We start from the raw sequence: 16,260 nt of genomic DNA, 5'->3' as shown, positions 1-16,260 counted from the left end.
AAAAAGGAAAAAAATGAAGAGAAAATATAATTTTAGGTGAAAATCATGAAAAAGGACCTAAAGAAAATATATACACTAATATAAGAAATAAATGAAATGGGGAAAAGGGTTAACTTTAGTTAGACTGGCCAGGGGAGACTTCTCTGAGTAGAGAGCATCTGAGCTCCCATGCCGAGAAGGATCCAGTCTGCAAGAAGGGGTAAATAGAAAGACACAAAGAGTCTTAAGTGGAAAGTGCTGACAAGTGGGACATGTTTGAGGAGGAGAAAAGGGGTCAGTGTAACAGAAATGTCACTGATTTCTTGAATATTTATAAGGTAGAGTGCCAGTCTCATGGTCAAAGGTGTGGGGCAGGAACTTCAGTGTTTGTTTGTGTGTGTGTGTTAAACAAGGGCCATGTCTTAATTTTCTTTATTTTGGCATTGTGTCATTGATATATTTTTATTTTTTAAATGTATTTTAATTGTGATCTCTCCATTTTGACATTGCAAAATCATCCTACGTTACTACCTCAGCTGGAATGAAATCATTGAACATGTGACGTTAGTCTCCTGCTTGGGATGGACATTCATAGCATGTTTCCTAAGAGCTTCTCTGAGTGCGAGACCACTCCTGACATTACTGTGGTGGTTATTTGATTTTAGTAAGTCAGTGAAAGCTAGCCAGTGAATTATATTTTTAATAAGTCATGTGTATGGTTTAGAATTCAAACATAATTCTGAGAAGAAGCCAAGCATGACTCTTGTTTTCCACAGTATTTTTAATACTTTTTATTTCTTTTTTATTTTCTTCCTGTGTTTTTTTCTCTCTTCTTTAAAATTTAGCAACCACAAATTTCTTTTTTGTATTTTAATATTAAATATTTATAAAGTCTGCGCAAGTGAATTTTTAATTGTAATAATGCCACCTGTTTCATTAGGGATCCTGAAAGGATTAGTGAGATAATGTCTATAGAAAGGATTGAACTCCTTGTGGGAAAAAGGATATATATATGAAATGTATTGTGACCCTGAAGTCTTAATGTATTACTACTATGTCATTGCTGTCCTGGCTTCTATGTAAACACCTCAGCCTGAATGTTTTCAGCTTCAACTTCTATATTTGTTTTTGGCTTCTTTTGCTTGAATCAAGTGAGATAGCAACAGTAATGATAATCTATAATATTCATAAACAATATTAATAATTCAGTATTTCCCAGTCACCGAATAATGTTCTAGTCCGTCATCTTGTTTTATCTTTACAATAACCCTAAAAATTAGGTAGTATTTGTGCTATTTTACAGGTGAAGAAACTAAGCCTATTCCAAATCACTTTTGGGCTGCCTAAGGAAGACACCATAATAAGCCAGAGGTAAAATAGGAAAATATGAAATATATCTCCACAATTCTGATATGAGAAATAACGTTAATGTCTGCATTGATTAACACTTTTTCTGAAAAAATGGGCTCTCTTCATCTTTGTCTGGTTTAGAGACAGCCCAGCTTAAAGAAGACAAATTATTTCCATCATCCCTGAGAATCATGCTAGAGTGAATCTTTGCTGAGGCCAGTTTAAGAGATAATTTCGCTGTTAGACATGATTAAAGTCCAATTAAAAGAGATCTCTTACATGGATTTTAGAAGGAAGCAGTGCATGGGTAATTATATTAAACCCTGTTTAGCACAATGACATTAGATAATCAAACTCAGGTAACTGTAACTAGAGGCAACTAGTAAATGTACCATGTCAACCCAAAATAATGTCTGTGTAGAATCTAAAGGACAGAAACATTGGTGGCTTATCCAAAGTTCCAAATCAAAAATAAATTTGGATTATACTGGATTAAAATTATTAAATTTGGAATAAAGGTGATTAAAATTTGGATAAATTTACATAAATGTTTAATAAAAATATAAAGGTGTATATTGGGATGAGGTATAAGGTAGTGGAGAAAGAAGAGGAAAAGCAACAAACAGAAATAAACTTTTGCCACAATCCAGCTAGGTCTGTGGGCTAAGCTCTTACCCAAAGCATCTTAGTGTAACTGAGCCTCACAACAACTTTTGGGATTAGGTATTATTATCCGAATTTTATTCTGAGGGAAACAAACTTTAAAAGAGAACACATATTGCCCATAATCACTCATTAGAGGACCAGAACTCAAATTCAGGTCTGCATTACTCAATATTATAGGGCCTTTCTAATATATAACACTGCCTCTAAGATAGTTAATCTTTCACAGAATGAAATTGATTAGAAACACACACACACACACACACACACACACACACACACACACAAACACACACACACACAAAACTTCCAGATGTTTACCAGATAGGTAGAAGCAGACAATTTTAAGAAGGCATGATCTAGGGTACTCTATCATCCCTCCTTTCCCACCCCATTTTTTTTTCTTTTTTTTTTTTTGAGATGGAGTTTCACTCTTGTTGCCCAGGCTGGAGTGCAATGGCGCGATCTCGGCTCGCTGCAACCTCCGCCGCCTGGATTCAAGCAATTCTCCTGCCTCAGCCTCCCGAGCAGCTGGGGTTACAGGCATGTGCCACCACGCCCAGCTAATTTTGTATTTTTAGTAGAGACGGGGTTTCTCCATGTTGGTCAGGCTGGTCTCGAACATCTGACTCAGGTGATCCACCCGCCTTGGCCTCCCAAAGTGCTGGGATATTTGCTGTTTCTATTATTTGTGTTTAGTGCTGAAGGAGTTAATGTATTGCCCTCAAAATTATTAGAGTACTCCTTTCTCTTTCTTAGTTTCCACTTAAACTGTAGCATTTTGTATTTAACTATTTATTTTCACAATACCATCCAACACCATGCCTTACAGAATGTGAAATGCTGCCAGCAAGTGTTTTGAACACTTCCCCACTGATTTTGTTCATGAAAAGAAGAGGTCAGTTTTTGTAGCTTTGCAAGAAAACTATTAATCCTGTGTTAAACACAAAGAAAAACACAGAAGTATGTGGGTGTAAATGGTAGGCTTATCTCTTCGTACAGCATCCCCAACAAAAATGGCACTTGTGACTTCTGATAGCAGCAATTGTTCTTAGTTTGTTACTTTATTTGGGGGTTGAATAAACTATAGGAGTGGATGATGAAGTTATTTGTCATTGCATGATAGGATATAACCCAAGTAATAAACAGCAGACATTTATAAGGAATAGATCACAGTAGGGACACCAGACAGCCTTCAGTTGCAAAACAACAGGGCACAAGAAAGAGAATTTGATTAACTGAATTTGTTCAAATGTTATAGGGCCTGGTGATATAACAAGGAGGGAAATTGCAAAGATGCTTTCTCAAGAATACTGTGACAAGAATGCACAAAAAGGCTAATAATGCGATATATGATTGTATAGAAATTACATCGTAATGAACTTGTGCTATTAATACCTAAGAAGAAAGAATAAATTGTCCTGAGATAATAGCTGCATGTAGTTGCAGCAAAGAAGGATTGCAAAGAGATCAACACGGAGATAAAAAATAGCACATTGAAGGCTTTGGCGAGAGGGGGGATGTTAATATCTGATAGGAATTGGTTGAAATAAATGCAAAATGCTCTTCTGCAAAGGGATGGGTATTGCTCAGTGCAAGTGTGTGAGAACAAAGAAAGTGCTGTTTAAAGATCTATGAGATGAGAAAGAATCTGAAGCCATTAATGAATAGGAAATTGGTAGTTTTGCTATATAATATGAGCTAATCATCAAATGTCCCCATCTCTGGAGTGCTCCCAAGGGATGAAAGGCTATTGGCAGCCCTGACAATAAACAGAATGTCTGTGTGTAAAGCAACGTTTAAGGCAAACCAGAGCTAGTCTAAGGAGATGGGCTCTGCCCATTTCCAGTCTTCAGCAGCCATATGTGCATGAAAGATGCAGGCCCAAGGACATCTTCTACTTCGTTTTTGGTTGTTTTCTATGAAACCTAAATACTTATTTTCTGGGTTTGTCACCAGGATTTTGTAGCAAAGGAATCATACAGAGTGGAATAATGGACATTGGAGACTCAGAAGCAGGGAGGATGGGAGAGAGATTAGGAATGAAAAGCTACATATTGGGCACAATGTGTACTACTTGGATGAAGAGCTCACTAAAATCTCAGACTTCACATTCATGCATTTCATCTGTGTAACCAAAACCCACTTGTATCCCCAAAGCTATTGAAATAAAAAAAATATATTAAGTTGAGACCTTGTGCACTAAAACAAATACTAGGCTAATTCTTGTTAAGCACTTTGACATGTATTTGCAAAAATGACAAGGAAGACATGTCCCTGCCTCACAGAATAGACAATTCAACAATTAGCTGCCTAATTCAGCGATGATATATTAAAGTATAATGATCATTATGGCAGATAAAGTAGAGGGGGCTAGGAAACACTTGGCAGGGAATCCAGCCCAGTCTAGAGGATTCCTGAGCAAGACACCTCCCTGAGAAAGAGGCATTTAAGCTGAAATTGAAAGAAGGAATGGAAGTTAGCTAACTCTTTATAATAGACACTGAATTTCAAGTTGAATTATTTATTAAGTCCCTAAAATTTTAATTTCTTGATAATTTCTGGTGGCATTTTGATGATATATGATTTTAATGATGATTATCTAATGCATTTATCAACTGTAAGCATCTTGGTTTGCAGTAACCACATAGTGGGTAGCCAAATTGCTATTCACTGAAATAAAATTTTCCCTGTGATCATTTTTTTGCTTTCTTTTTCTCTCACAATTTATTGGGATATAATTCATATACCATAAAACTCACCATTTTGAAGTATGAAACTCAGTGTTTTTTAGTATATTCAGAAGGGTTTGTGATCATTCCTACTATCTAACTGCAGAACATTGTTATCATCTCAAAGAGAAACCACATACCCATCAGCTGTCATTGCCCATTTCCCCTTTCCCCTAGCACCTAGCAAACACTAATTAAATCTCTATTGCTATAGATTTGCCAATTGCAGACATTTCATGTAAACAGGATCATACAATATGTGGCCTTTTGTGGCTGGCTCCCTTCACTTAGGATGATGTTTTCAAGGTTCACCTGTGTTGTGGTGTGTATCAGTATTTTGCTCCTTTTTATGGCCAAATTATATTCCATTGTACACATGCACCACATTTTGTTTATCCATTCATCAGTAAGCATACATTTGGTTTCCATTTGTTAGCTATCATGACTGATGCTCCTGTGAACATTTGTGTATACGTATTTGTGTGGACATATGCCTTCCTTTCTCTTGAGTATATAACTGGGAGTGAAATTGCTGGGTCATATGGTAACTTTATGATTACCCTTTTAAGGTACTGCCGCGTTGTTTTCCAAAGAAGAAATGCTTTTACATTCCCACTAGCAATGTTTTGCTTTCTTTTTATAGACCCCAGAGGAACTGGAGGATGTTTCTGACCTTGAAGAGGAACACGAGGTCCGCAGTCACACCAGCATTCAGACCGAAGGGAAAACTGATAGGGTATGTCACTTCAACTGGTGGGAGAACCATGTACTGTGTCACTGAAGGCTGTGCCCTCCCTTTGTCAATCTAGGCAGCCTCTAATGGGTGGGACTCCTGGATCTGGAGCTAGTTCTGTGAAGCACATGGAGAAAAGCCTTAGCATTAAGGGAAACCACATGAGGGGAATTATTTTCCTCTATCTTGAGAGCTCACAGTAAGTCCATTTCAGGTCATGTAGTGAATCACTCCATACTGCTTTTGATCTTTATAGGAGTCATGGGAATATAAAAGTGAAATATGTACATGTTTGCTTAGACTAGAAAAAAGAAACGAAGAAGTTGTAAATATACTCGGGAATTCTAGTGGAGAAGAAAACTCGTCTGAGTCAATAATCTACTTTTCTTTCTCTACAATAACTTCTCCTGTGCCTGCCCCCAAACACACACACACACACCCCACCACCACCACCACCACTGCCACCACCACCACACAACTCCAAATATGTTATTCTAATTTCTGAATTACTCTGAGATATTGTACTTCACTTTACTCCCACCCAGTGCCTGGGTATCTGTGAAAGTTTGGCATCCTAGCCACTTATCGCTTGCAACTACAGACCAGACAACAAACCTTGGATCTGAAACCCACGTAGTACAGCACAGTGCCTAAGCCTTCCTGGGAATGCATGTGCATCTGCCACCTCCTTCTGGAGTGTTACTTGGGAAAGTCAATTAGCTTCTCTGTACCTCAGTTCCCTCATTTGTAAAGCAGAGATACTAATAGTATCCTTCATATGAGGATTACTGTGGGAATTAACTGAGTCAACTAACAGACCACTTATATAGTGCCTAGTTCATAGTAACTTCTCAATAACTGTTAGTTACTATCATTCATAGTAGTAATAGCAGCAGCAACAATAGTAGGATTATCATGATCATCATTATTAATATTATTATTAAGTTAGTTAAATTCGGTGACATAAAATTTGGAGATGGAAGCAAATTCCTAACCTTTCCCTCTGTTTTCTGGCCTCTTATGGTTGTATCTGATGTTGAAGCACTTATATTGAAAGGCTGGCGCATACTCTGTTTTTGTAGACATATTGTTATACAAGCTCTGCAGAAACATTTCAAGCAAAGACCCGTTTGGTTAACTCCATGTCACAATGAGTGTTAGTGCACATTTCCTTAAAAAAAATGTTGATATTCCTCACATGTTTTGATATTCTATTGTAATCTATGGCTTGTGGAAACTGATTTGAAGAAGAAAAAACAACTTTAGTCCTTACCAAATTTTACCTAGAATCCTTTGGATTTCTATTCCCTAAGAATGTAATATAAGATAAATACACTGAAAAATATCTAATTTTAAACAGATGCAGAGAGTCACATTCTGTTTCTACTATTCTTTTTGATTGCCTTTTTAAAATCCCACAACATATTATGTAAAATATTTTGTTTGTTTATCTACTTTGACATATGTGAAATGAATGTTTAAAAAGCTATCTCATTAGAGCTTAACTATATCTTTTTATTAACAATAATATCTTGCATCTACATATTTGTTTTTACAGTGCGCTAAGTATTTTCTCATTTACTATAAAATACAGAAAATATGGTAAAACATAATATGGGAAAAGATAAATTTGGGAAAGTTCCATGTTTTCAGACATTCAGATTGCCTAGAAATAATATATATCAGCCAAGAAAATAAAACCTGTGTTTTATCAGAAACATTGCTTATCTCAAATTTTGGTAATAGGAATATTTCATTTCAGTGGAGAAAAAATGTTCTTTGAGTAGACACCATTATCACATAGCCAGACAGATAGTATTTGGTAATATATTGGGAAATGCTACTTTCTTGAGTTTCCATTTCTTACAGATTATTTGGGTTATTTGTCAGCCCTCTACTAGCCAATTTGTGTTGAAAACTGTCTAGGGTCACACAGCATCTGGATTTAGTTTCCTTCAAATCTAGTTGGCATCATTGGTAGAGATCACATCTTATGAGTGGAAATTGAATTGGAAATACATTTTGCTAAAAGTAAGCTTTGCTCTTGCTTTCAGGGAAGTGGGTGCGTGGTTCACTCAGGCTGATGCCACTGAAGGTAAAGTGTAGGTGTCAAGGCTTGCAAAGTAATTGACCAAAGGAAATTTTGTTAAAATTAAGGCTCTTTTTAGAATGCTGGAATTAGGATAAACACACCTCAGTTTTTATTCTGGCTTAGCACTTGTAGACGATGAAGACTTGGTTAGAAAACCAAATTTATTCATTTGAAAAATGAGATGAATAATACCATAGTTTCTCACAGCATCACTGGTAACTTCAAATAAGATAATGCATATGGAAGTGTTTCAAAAATTTCCACATTATATACGATGGTAAACTTCTTATTACTACTATTTTCATTTGTATTTTTGTTCTTGGTCCAAAGTATAGGCCAGGCCAGCTAGATGACTGGCTGCCCATTATAGGTTACAAACTTGATGATCTCTATGATTCTGAATCTTAAGAATTTTTCATAGAAGCCACTGCTTCTAATGTTGTGGAAACTACCCTGAAACTGCTCTGCATCTTGCATTAGTGTTCTGCTGCGTACAGTTCTCAGACAATCCAGTTCATTCGGAATGCCGCTGGGTGAAAACCTCACCACTGTTTAGTGACAAGATAGATCCCTGACCACGAAATCTACTGGTGGCAACATTATATTCAACCTGGCTACTCTCTGCTCTTATAAATATCCTCTGCATAAATCCCAAATAATTGGATTTTATTCACTTCCTGCATTGGGGCTCCCTAGCAACTACTATGTGGAATCCCTCTGATAACTGCTCAGTCATGATAATACATATACAACCTTATATGAGGCACGAACCCCACATAGAGCAACTCTTGACCAATAACCCTATTCTGTTTCTAAGATGGACAATTTGGAAATGCATTTTCCACAGAACCTGAAAGGGTCCCCAGTAGGATCAAGTAGTAACCATGTTGATACTGTGTCTTTAGACTGGCTCTCCTTTCTTTCCTGATTCGTTCTTCCCAGGCTCCCAGTTCCGTTTACTAATATCTATTTCCAAAACAAACTACCTTCCAATCTCAGACTCTGCTTATTGGAAGAAAATAATAAAAGAAAATTACTCCATATATATTATTTACTTAATTTTTACATTAAATTTGCTATATTAATATTATTCCAGTTTTACTAATAAGATCACTAAGGCTCAAATTTATGTAACTTGTGTAGTAAGAGGATTATGTCTTCAGACTCAGACCTTCTGTGATTGCCACATGTCAGTTTACTTAGGAAATAAAGTTATGATAAGTCCTTTACTAAAAAACAAACAGATAGACCACCACCAGAGCAATAAACCTGATGTATCATTAATGGAATGAGAAAGAGGACAGAGCAAAGGATGTCACAGCTGTCTGACAAGGGGAAGACACAAATTTTCCTTTAAATTTTGAAGAGAAATTATTTTATATTGTAGATAATTTGGTACCAATAACACCCCTTACATTATATCTGCCTTGTGAGTTTATTACAACAGATTCTACTCTCATAAGTTAAGTTTATGAGACAGATGGCCAAGGAAAAGGATAGCTCAGATTTGGTCCCCACCCAAATCACCCAACAAGAACCAACATTATATTTAGATAGGTTTTACAATATCTACCAGACATCTCGTATTCTTGAGTCCCATATTCTTTATACTAATATCTGTGTTCCATACTCCTTATAATAATAAAATGACATTTATATCTTCAATCTCTTATCCATCTGAGACATTATTGTCACATTCTAGCTGTAATTGCTGTAATTTCATATCCATTGCACTGAGTGTAACTTTTGGCACATTTCACACACACTCTCACTTTGAGAAGATACTATAAGATATTGAAGGAGATTCTGTTGAGAAGTCTTTAAATACTCATGCCATGCTCAGTGTGGAATTTGGGGTCACAGCACAAGATGAGTAAATGGATTTCTTTTTTGTTGTTGCTGTTTCTAAAGAGTAAATGCCTTTTTAGTTCTTGGATCATGCAGACTCTGCTGTATTGCACATGCGCTAGAACCAGGCACTGTTTAGTAATGGAGTGACAGTTATTTATTATCATTTTACTTTCTGTATTCATTCCTACTAGCTTCAGCTCAACATCATTTATTATTGTTGTCACCAGTGGCAAATGCCAGTAGGCATTGTAAAGGTCTGTAACTAACATATAATGATTTAGAGTCTGTGGTCAATGAGAACAAAATATTAAAAGACCAATAATGCATGACTTACGAAGTGACAATGGAAATAGCAGTGGAAATCAGTAATTATCTTAATTGTTAAACATGAATACTCACTGGACCAATACGTGGTTATATCCAGTGATCAGGCGTACCGGAGTGACACAGGAGTTTGAGTTTGATTCGGGTTCATAGAACATTCTTCACAGAGCTCATTGTTTATTCTGTTCATGCTTTCAGCCAGAATAAAATAGGCATCTTTTATCTGAAAAACTCAAATTCAAAAGAGACATGAAAATACACCTTTTAAAAGAGAATAAAATTTCTAAACTTATTAATAAGATGTTTGTAAGTCCTAAAAGCTTCCTAAAATGTTATATGACATACAGACTAAATCATATTTTCTATTTAAACAGAGCAGTGCCTGATACTGTTTAACACATCATAGTTTACAGAACATTTTCAAATTGGTAGCTTATTTATAAAAAGCCCTGGAGCTTATTTTTTGTTATCTTTTCCGTTTGGTTTTACTAATTAGGAAATGAAACAAAAAATTTAAGTAGTTTATGCAAGCCATATTAACTGGGACCAAATCGCAGGTCTTTTGGCCTCAAACATGTTCTCTTTCCAGTACAGCACACTTGTAAACTGGAATAGTCTCATCATCCCTTAATATTGTCATTGATCTACTATTGCAACAGCCAGCATTATAGAGTCAATATTATAAATTGCTGTACTAGAAAGATGGTTTGTTAAACTGAAGACCACAAACCTTAAAATTAGATGTATTTAAACCTTGCAAATTTCTACACGTCCCCATCCTACAATCTTCTATCAATAGCAAAATTGGCTTGTTGATTACCATTTAGAAACTACCTGGTAATGCCCAGACCCTGAAAGTCTCTCTTGGTGGGTCACTTCACCTTGATGAAGTGGAGTATTGGGCAAGTAGGGTCATATAGCAGGGGATCCTGCAGGGTGAGGATCCAAAGTTAGTTCCCACCACGGAATCCAGAAGAGCAAAGGCAGTTGCTCCTTAGTCATTGTCTCATCACATTGGCCTGTGTGATGTTTCAATAAAACGAGAATTCTAATTTCTAGAAGTTTTTCCTGTTTTATTTTCTGCAATAGGGGCAGCAGTCGTAGTAGAGACTTAGGAAATTATTTAAGTTGCAGCAGGGTGGCAGCTGAACGTTCCTCAAACTTACCTGAGTAATAACTGTGGGTTTAAAAAGGCTCTTCATAAAATTGATTGAAAGAGAGTTTGGGGAATAGAATAGGTGAGCAAATGACTTGCCTTTTATAGAACTACTGTAATGTATAAGTCAAGAGAATGGACTTTGGAGTCACATAAACCTTGACTCAAATCTCAGTTCCACCAATTACTGTCCATATGACCTTCATAAAGTTACATTTCTAACTTTCAATTTTCTTATCTGTAAAATCATGATGATGATAATAATAATATCTATTTTATAGGTGTTTTTGAAGATTCAATTAGATATGTGAAAATTCTTGTTTGGTTTCTGGCACATAGGAAGTGAACAATAAATTTTGATTTTTATAAAATGAATCTCATGAAAAATGCAGATCTTTGTGTGCTCCTGATGTGCTTTGACTTTTTATTGAGTAGCTCAGGGAGCTTTGTAAATACAAATCTCTCTGACTCCTGATATGGGACTACTTGGTTTCCTGTTTCATGGTACTAAGTATTTTTGACATCATGGACACTTTACTACCAGAAGTCTTTTGAAATTATTTTTTGCCTCAAGAAGGGGACTAATGAAGAAATGCTTTAAGAGATTAAAAGGAAGAAGGCATTGTGATTCTTAATGATGCCAGCAAGTTTATGTAAATCTGTATTCACAAAAGTAAGCTAGAACTGAAATAGATATCCAAAAAAGCAACTCTTGTTAATGCAACATCACCGAAAAGTTGACCCAATAGTTGTCAAGTTCTTATTTCCCTCACCATTTAGTAAAATGCCTGGCTCTGCACTGGGAGTTTTTCTTCCTTGTGGAACTTTGGTAGCTTGGTAATCCATTAGTTTCTGTCTCTGTCAGTTCTCATAAAGTTGCATAGGACTTAAACTTTTCAATTTTTAATTTTTCTGCCAGGCGCAGTGACTCACACCTCTAATCCCAGCACTTTGGGAGGCTGAGGTGGGTGGATCACTTGAGGCCAGGAGTTCAAGACCAGCCTGGCCAACATGGTGAAACACCATCTCTACTAAAAATACAGAAATTAGCTGGGCATGGCAATGCATGCCTGTAATCCCAGCTACTAGGAAGGGTAAGGTGGGAGGATTGCTTGAACCCAGGAGGTGGAGGTAGCAGTGAGCGGAGATTGTGTCCACTGCACTCCAGCCTGGGTGACAGAGTGAGAGACTGCCTAAAAAAAAAAAAAAAGAAAGAAAAGAAAAGAAAGAAAAAAGAAAAAAACAACATTTAATTTTTCTAGATGTATAATGATTTTTTAAAAAAAGAGAAAAAAATACATCTCATTCTGATATTTATTGGATGCATGTTGGAGATAGTTCTGCAAGTAGTCATTTATAATTACCTCTTCTTTCTTTGCCCCTGCCCAAGAAGAACATATTCTACAGTCATTCTTTCCTCCGCCTGTACAACTTGAAATCCAATAAGGTCTAAATACTAAATCAAAGGTTTTGTTCTGTCTCACACAACTTAAACTTTGATTATAGTGTCTTGTAGGTGAGTGGTGAGAAAAGGAATTTGTTAGCACTGAATTAGACTGGGTAAGATTTTTATTTAAGGATATTTGAATCTGCTAGTTCTAATTGCTGGAATTGAGTTTAATGAATAGAACATTAAAAACAAGACATTTAAATATTATAATTTCAACGATAGTCATTTCATATTTCATTGTGACCAGGTTATACTACATTTTTAAAGATACATTATTTGTCATATATACTGATGACCCCAAATTACAGAAATTGTAATATGCAGTCTTTGCTTGATGACTAAGGTCTGTCATGTGTTTAACATTATATTCACTTAAGAGCATATAGTTTGTCAACCTGCCCTGCCTTAGAGAAAATCTCTGGGGCCATTGAATCTATATAAGGTCTATAAATAGAAGTAATTTAGGACAGAAATAAGAACAGTTGCCTAGGTTACTGGACACAACCTCAAAACGTCAATAGCAACAGATGAACTGGAGCATATCAAATCTTAAAATACTTGCGATGGTTCTTAGTGTAAAAAAAATGCCATGTAAACTTTATGTTGGTGATAGGAAAAACTGCCTCACTTTTGCTTGTTTACATGCAGTTACCTGAATATCCTTCACTATGAAATAGAAAAACAATTCCATGGATGAGTGGTTTACTCTAAAAATTAAAAACATTTTAACAGGCCATAATTATTATCAGTATATACTCTCAATAACTCAAATTTGTACGGAATTACCTTACAGAATATTGGGACACATGACCTCATTACCATCTTCATGATCTAATTTGGCTTATTATAAAAAACAGTTTTAATCAATATAGATAAAATTTCATTAATCAGCAGCAACACAGCAGGCAATACATTTTCTCATCATTGGTTACTATCATTTCAATTTTATGTTTGGCAGTAACTCTGCTCTCCTATCTTTCTGGGTGATCTTTTTCATATTTTTCATGGTTTCCTTTTCCTCTATCTATTTTTAAACATTAGGGTTTATTAGAGTTCTCATATAAGCCCTATAGTCCTCCAGCTCTTCCTACTTTTCTTAGACATTGTCACATAATCCCAAGATTTCAAATATCATATGTAGGCATGTGATTCTAGCCTAGTCCTGTCTTTTCAGCTCTGACTACATATATTGGGAGGCCTACAAATTTCCTCTCCTTGAAATAATCACAGGCATCTGTAGATCCCACTGTTTCCAAACCTAAATGCACCACCTTAATCCACTAATCTACTCAAACTCTTACATTCCTTAAGGCACCTCTGTACATTCAGTTGCACAAATCTAAACTCAGGAATAGTTTTTGAGTCTTCCCATAGCTAATCATACAACATGTTCTGGTTTTACTCTCTTCTAAGTATTTTCTGAACTTGTCCATTTTTCACCATCTCCACTATCACCACTGTCAAAGAAGAATTGCACCAAAGTTAAATAAGAGAGGAAGACTTTATTCAAGGCTTTTGCAATGGAACAAAGGCTAGAATTCATTCTGAGCTCAACTCTGCTGAAACAAAGATTTGTCAGAGATATGGTGAGAGGGATTATAGTCCATCAAATTTGCTAATTGCCTTTAACCAAAGAAATCGTAAAACTTCTCATAAATGTTTTCTTTATAACAGGAGATGGTTTTACAACTTGGAGAAAGCCGTTTTCAAGCGGAGGGGAACATTCATGCCATCTTGGTCCCTCCTTTAGTTTAGGCACCGGCACCTCTCACCTAGATTTCTGCAGCATGTTCCTAACTTGTCTCCTGCCATCAGTTTTGTAAACTTCCATTGTCCATACTTAAGCTCCTGTGATATTTCCAAAGTGAAAAATCTGTCATCTATCATCATACATAAAAGCCCTTTTAGGTCTTAGTGTCACCCCTTGCCCTTAGCATGAAATCCAATCTCCTAATGCCCTCTGTAAAGGAACTTCAGGGTCTGCTCTCATTTGCATTATATTTTGCCGGTTTCTCTTCAATGCTACCTCCTCGTGCAGAAATCTCAGGTCTTACAACCATCAGGCTCACCCTCACACCATTTCATTATCTCTGAGAAACACAATTCCTACGCTGCCCCCTCTTTCCCTTTACTAGTATCTGCTCATCATTAGGATTCCAGATTAGCCCAGCCTTCTCTGATACGCAAGTCTGAGATAGTTTCCCTCCAATAATCTTCCATTACATGTGGATTCTCACATTTTGATATTCATTGTGTCTGTATAATTTCCTATATAATGGATTTTTCTCCCTGCTAAATTCTAAACTCCATTACAGCAGGGGACATGTTGTCTTCTTTTAGCACTACATTTGCAGAACGTAGGACACTACTTAGTACAGAGGAGATTCATATGTGAATCACGTCATATAGGAAAGAACATAAGGAGAGGCTTTATTTTGTAAGATATCTTGCCCCAAAAGCACACCCTAGGCTAATATATTGAGCCTAGGGTATTACATGAATTTATTTCTTTATCTTTTTTCTTCCAACAGTTGTAACTCCTTGTGCCAGATAAATCTTACTATAAATTCTTAGACACTACACTGAAATATTCAATTTAGTACCAGCTAGTGTAAATATTAATTGATCTGCTTGTTTGCCGAAGTCCTTCACTACGCCATTTTATTCCTGGCCATATAAGGGATATAGAACCTCAATCCTTTTTATTTGCTACAATGATCCTTGTGTTTCTGACAGAGAGTTAGGATTTTCCCTGAGCCTATATTTCTGATTTTTCCATGTCAGAATGGTCTAGTTTTGTCTTTTTTACTTCCTTTCAAAAGTTCTTCTAGATGAGCCCAACTCCCTTTATTCTCATAAAGCTTTCTTTATACTTTAGCCCCTATTGATTTAATAAAACAAAAACTTCTGCTGAAAAGCTGTCTAAAGGACAGTTTACTCACTCCTTTTGGATTTTTACATGTCAAGTGCACTAGGCTCTATCTCTATCCATTGTAAAGTAGTGTACTTGAGCAGTTTGATCTTTAAGTTCTTTACTTGAATTTAAATTTAGTGTCATTTCTTTAATTTTATAAGTCACTGTATAAAAATCTAGACAGAGAAAAATTAAAGTTTAAAACACTGTATATTATAGTATCCAAAACTTCTTATATACGAGTTAATAAATGCTTCTTGAAATTTCAATCTGGGAAAGATTTTTACCAAATATCTTAATATGCTCTTACTTATCAGACAGTGGAGCTTCATTAAAATATGTACATTTTCATCCTGCTTTGGTTACTGGGAAGTTCTATGTAAAAATTAATATTCAATAGCTAATCTGAATTGCTTAGTATATAATTTTTAAAAATTAAAAAGATATCTTTTTTATTATAGTTTTTCTTAATTTAGTTTTTCCGTTGTCAAAATTTTCTTATCACCAATGATGAAGTATATTTTAGAGTGAGGGAAGGTATAGGCATCAAGTATATTTTTGCAACAATTAGAACTTCTGTGATTTAAGCCTAAATCTCTCTCCTCTTCCATTGATTTATAGAGTAGAACGTTGGTATTCAAAAATGCCCGTTTTCCACCTTATAACATGGACAAAAAAACCAAAGTTCTATATCTTTAGTAGTTTATAATGCCACCAAGGCATGAATTTAAGTGGTATATTGTGATATATGTGACTTACTTGCTACTTAGTGAACCTAGCCTGCCATCCATTCTTTAAACAGAGTTTTCTACTCATCGATGCATTTACAGTGGAAGAAATAGCAAGCAGAGAAGTTCTGAGAAGAAAATGTTTTTGGAGGTGAATGTTGGTGAAGTGAGCAGTAATAGAAGTCTGAAACTAAAAGGGAGGCCTGGTCCAGATGATGTATAAACCATCATAAGACATTTGCCTTTTACTTTGAGTAGAATGAGAAGCCATTGGAGGGGTTTGAAGCC

General features: G+C 35.8%; 1 protein-coding gene and 1 long non-coding RNA gene across 11 annotated transcripts in view; one reads left to right on the top strand and one right to left on the bottom strand.

The window, feature by feature from the left end:
* CTNNA3 (catenin alpha 3) overlaps positions 1–16,260 on the top strand; it is a 1,851,072-nt gene that overhangs the window by 1,654,978 nt on the left and 179,834 nt on the right. For all 8 annotated transcript variants that reach the window (XM_047425124.1, NM_013266.4, XM_017016152.2 and 5 more), the window contains one exon: positions 5,368–5,460. In XM_047425124.1, coding sequence (XP_047281080.1) covers positions 5,368–5,460 — 93 coding nt within the window. The remainder of the gene's footprint in view (positions 1–5,367; positions 5,461–16,260) is intronic.
* The window catches only part of CTNNA3-AS1 (CTNNA3 antisense RNA 1), a 65,310-nt gene that overhangs the window by 35,933 nt on the left and 13,117 nt on the right, over positions 1–16,260 (bottom strand). For 2 of the 3 annotated variants that reach the window (XR_007062172.1, XR_007062171.1), the window contains exon 2: positions 9,800–9,955. This is a non-coding gene — a long non-coding RNA (CTNNA3 antisense RNA 1). Of the gene's footprint in view, positions 1–9,799; positions 9,956–10,558; positions 10,648–16,260 lie in introns of those variants that run through there. The other variant, XR_007062170.1, reaches the window with a different exon arrangement.

The sequence above is a fragment of the Homo sapiens genome, chromosome 10, assembly GCF_000001405.40.
Source record: "Homo sapiens chromosome 10, GRCh38.p14 Primary Assembly".
Lineage (NCBI taxonomy): Eukaryota > Metazoa > Chordata > Mammalia > Primates > Hominidae > Homo > Homo sapiens.
Note: the sequence above shows the minus strand (reverse complement) of the source record. Positions and strands in the feature narration are given on the sequence as shown.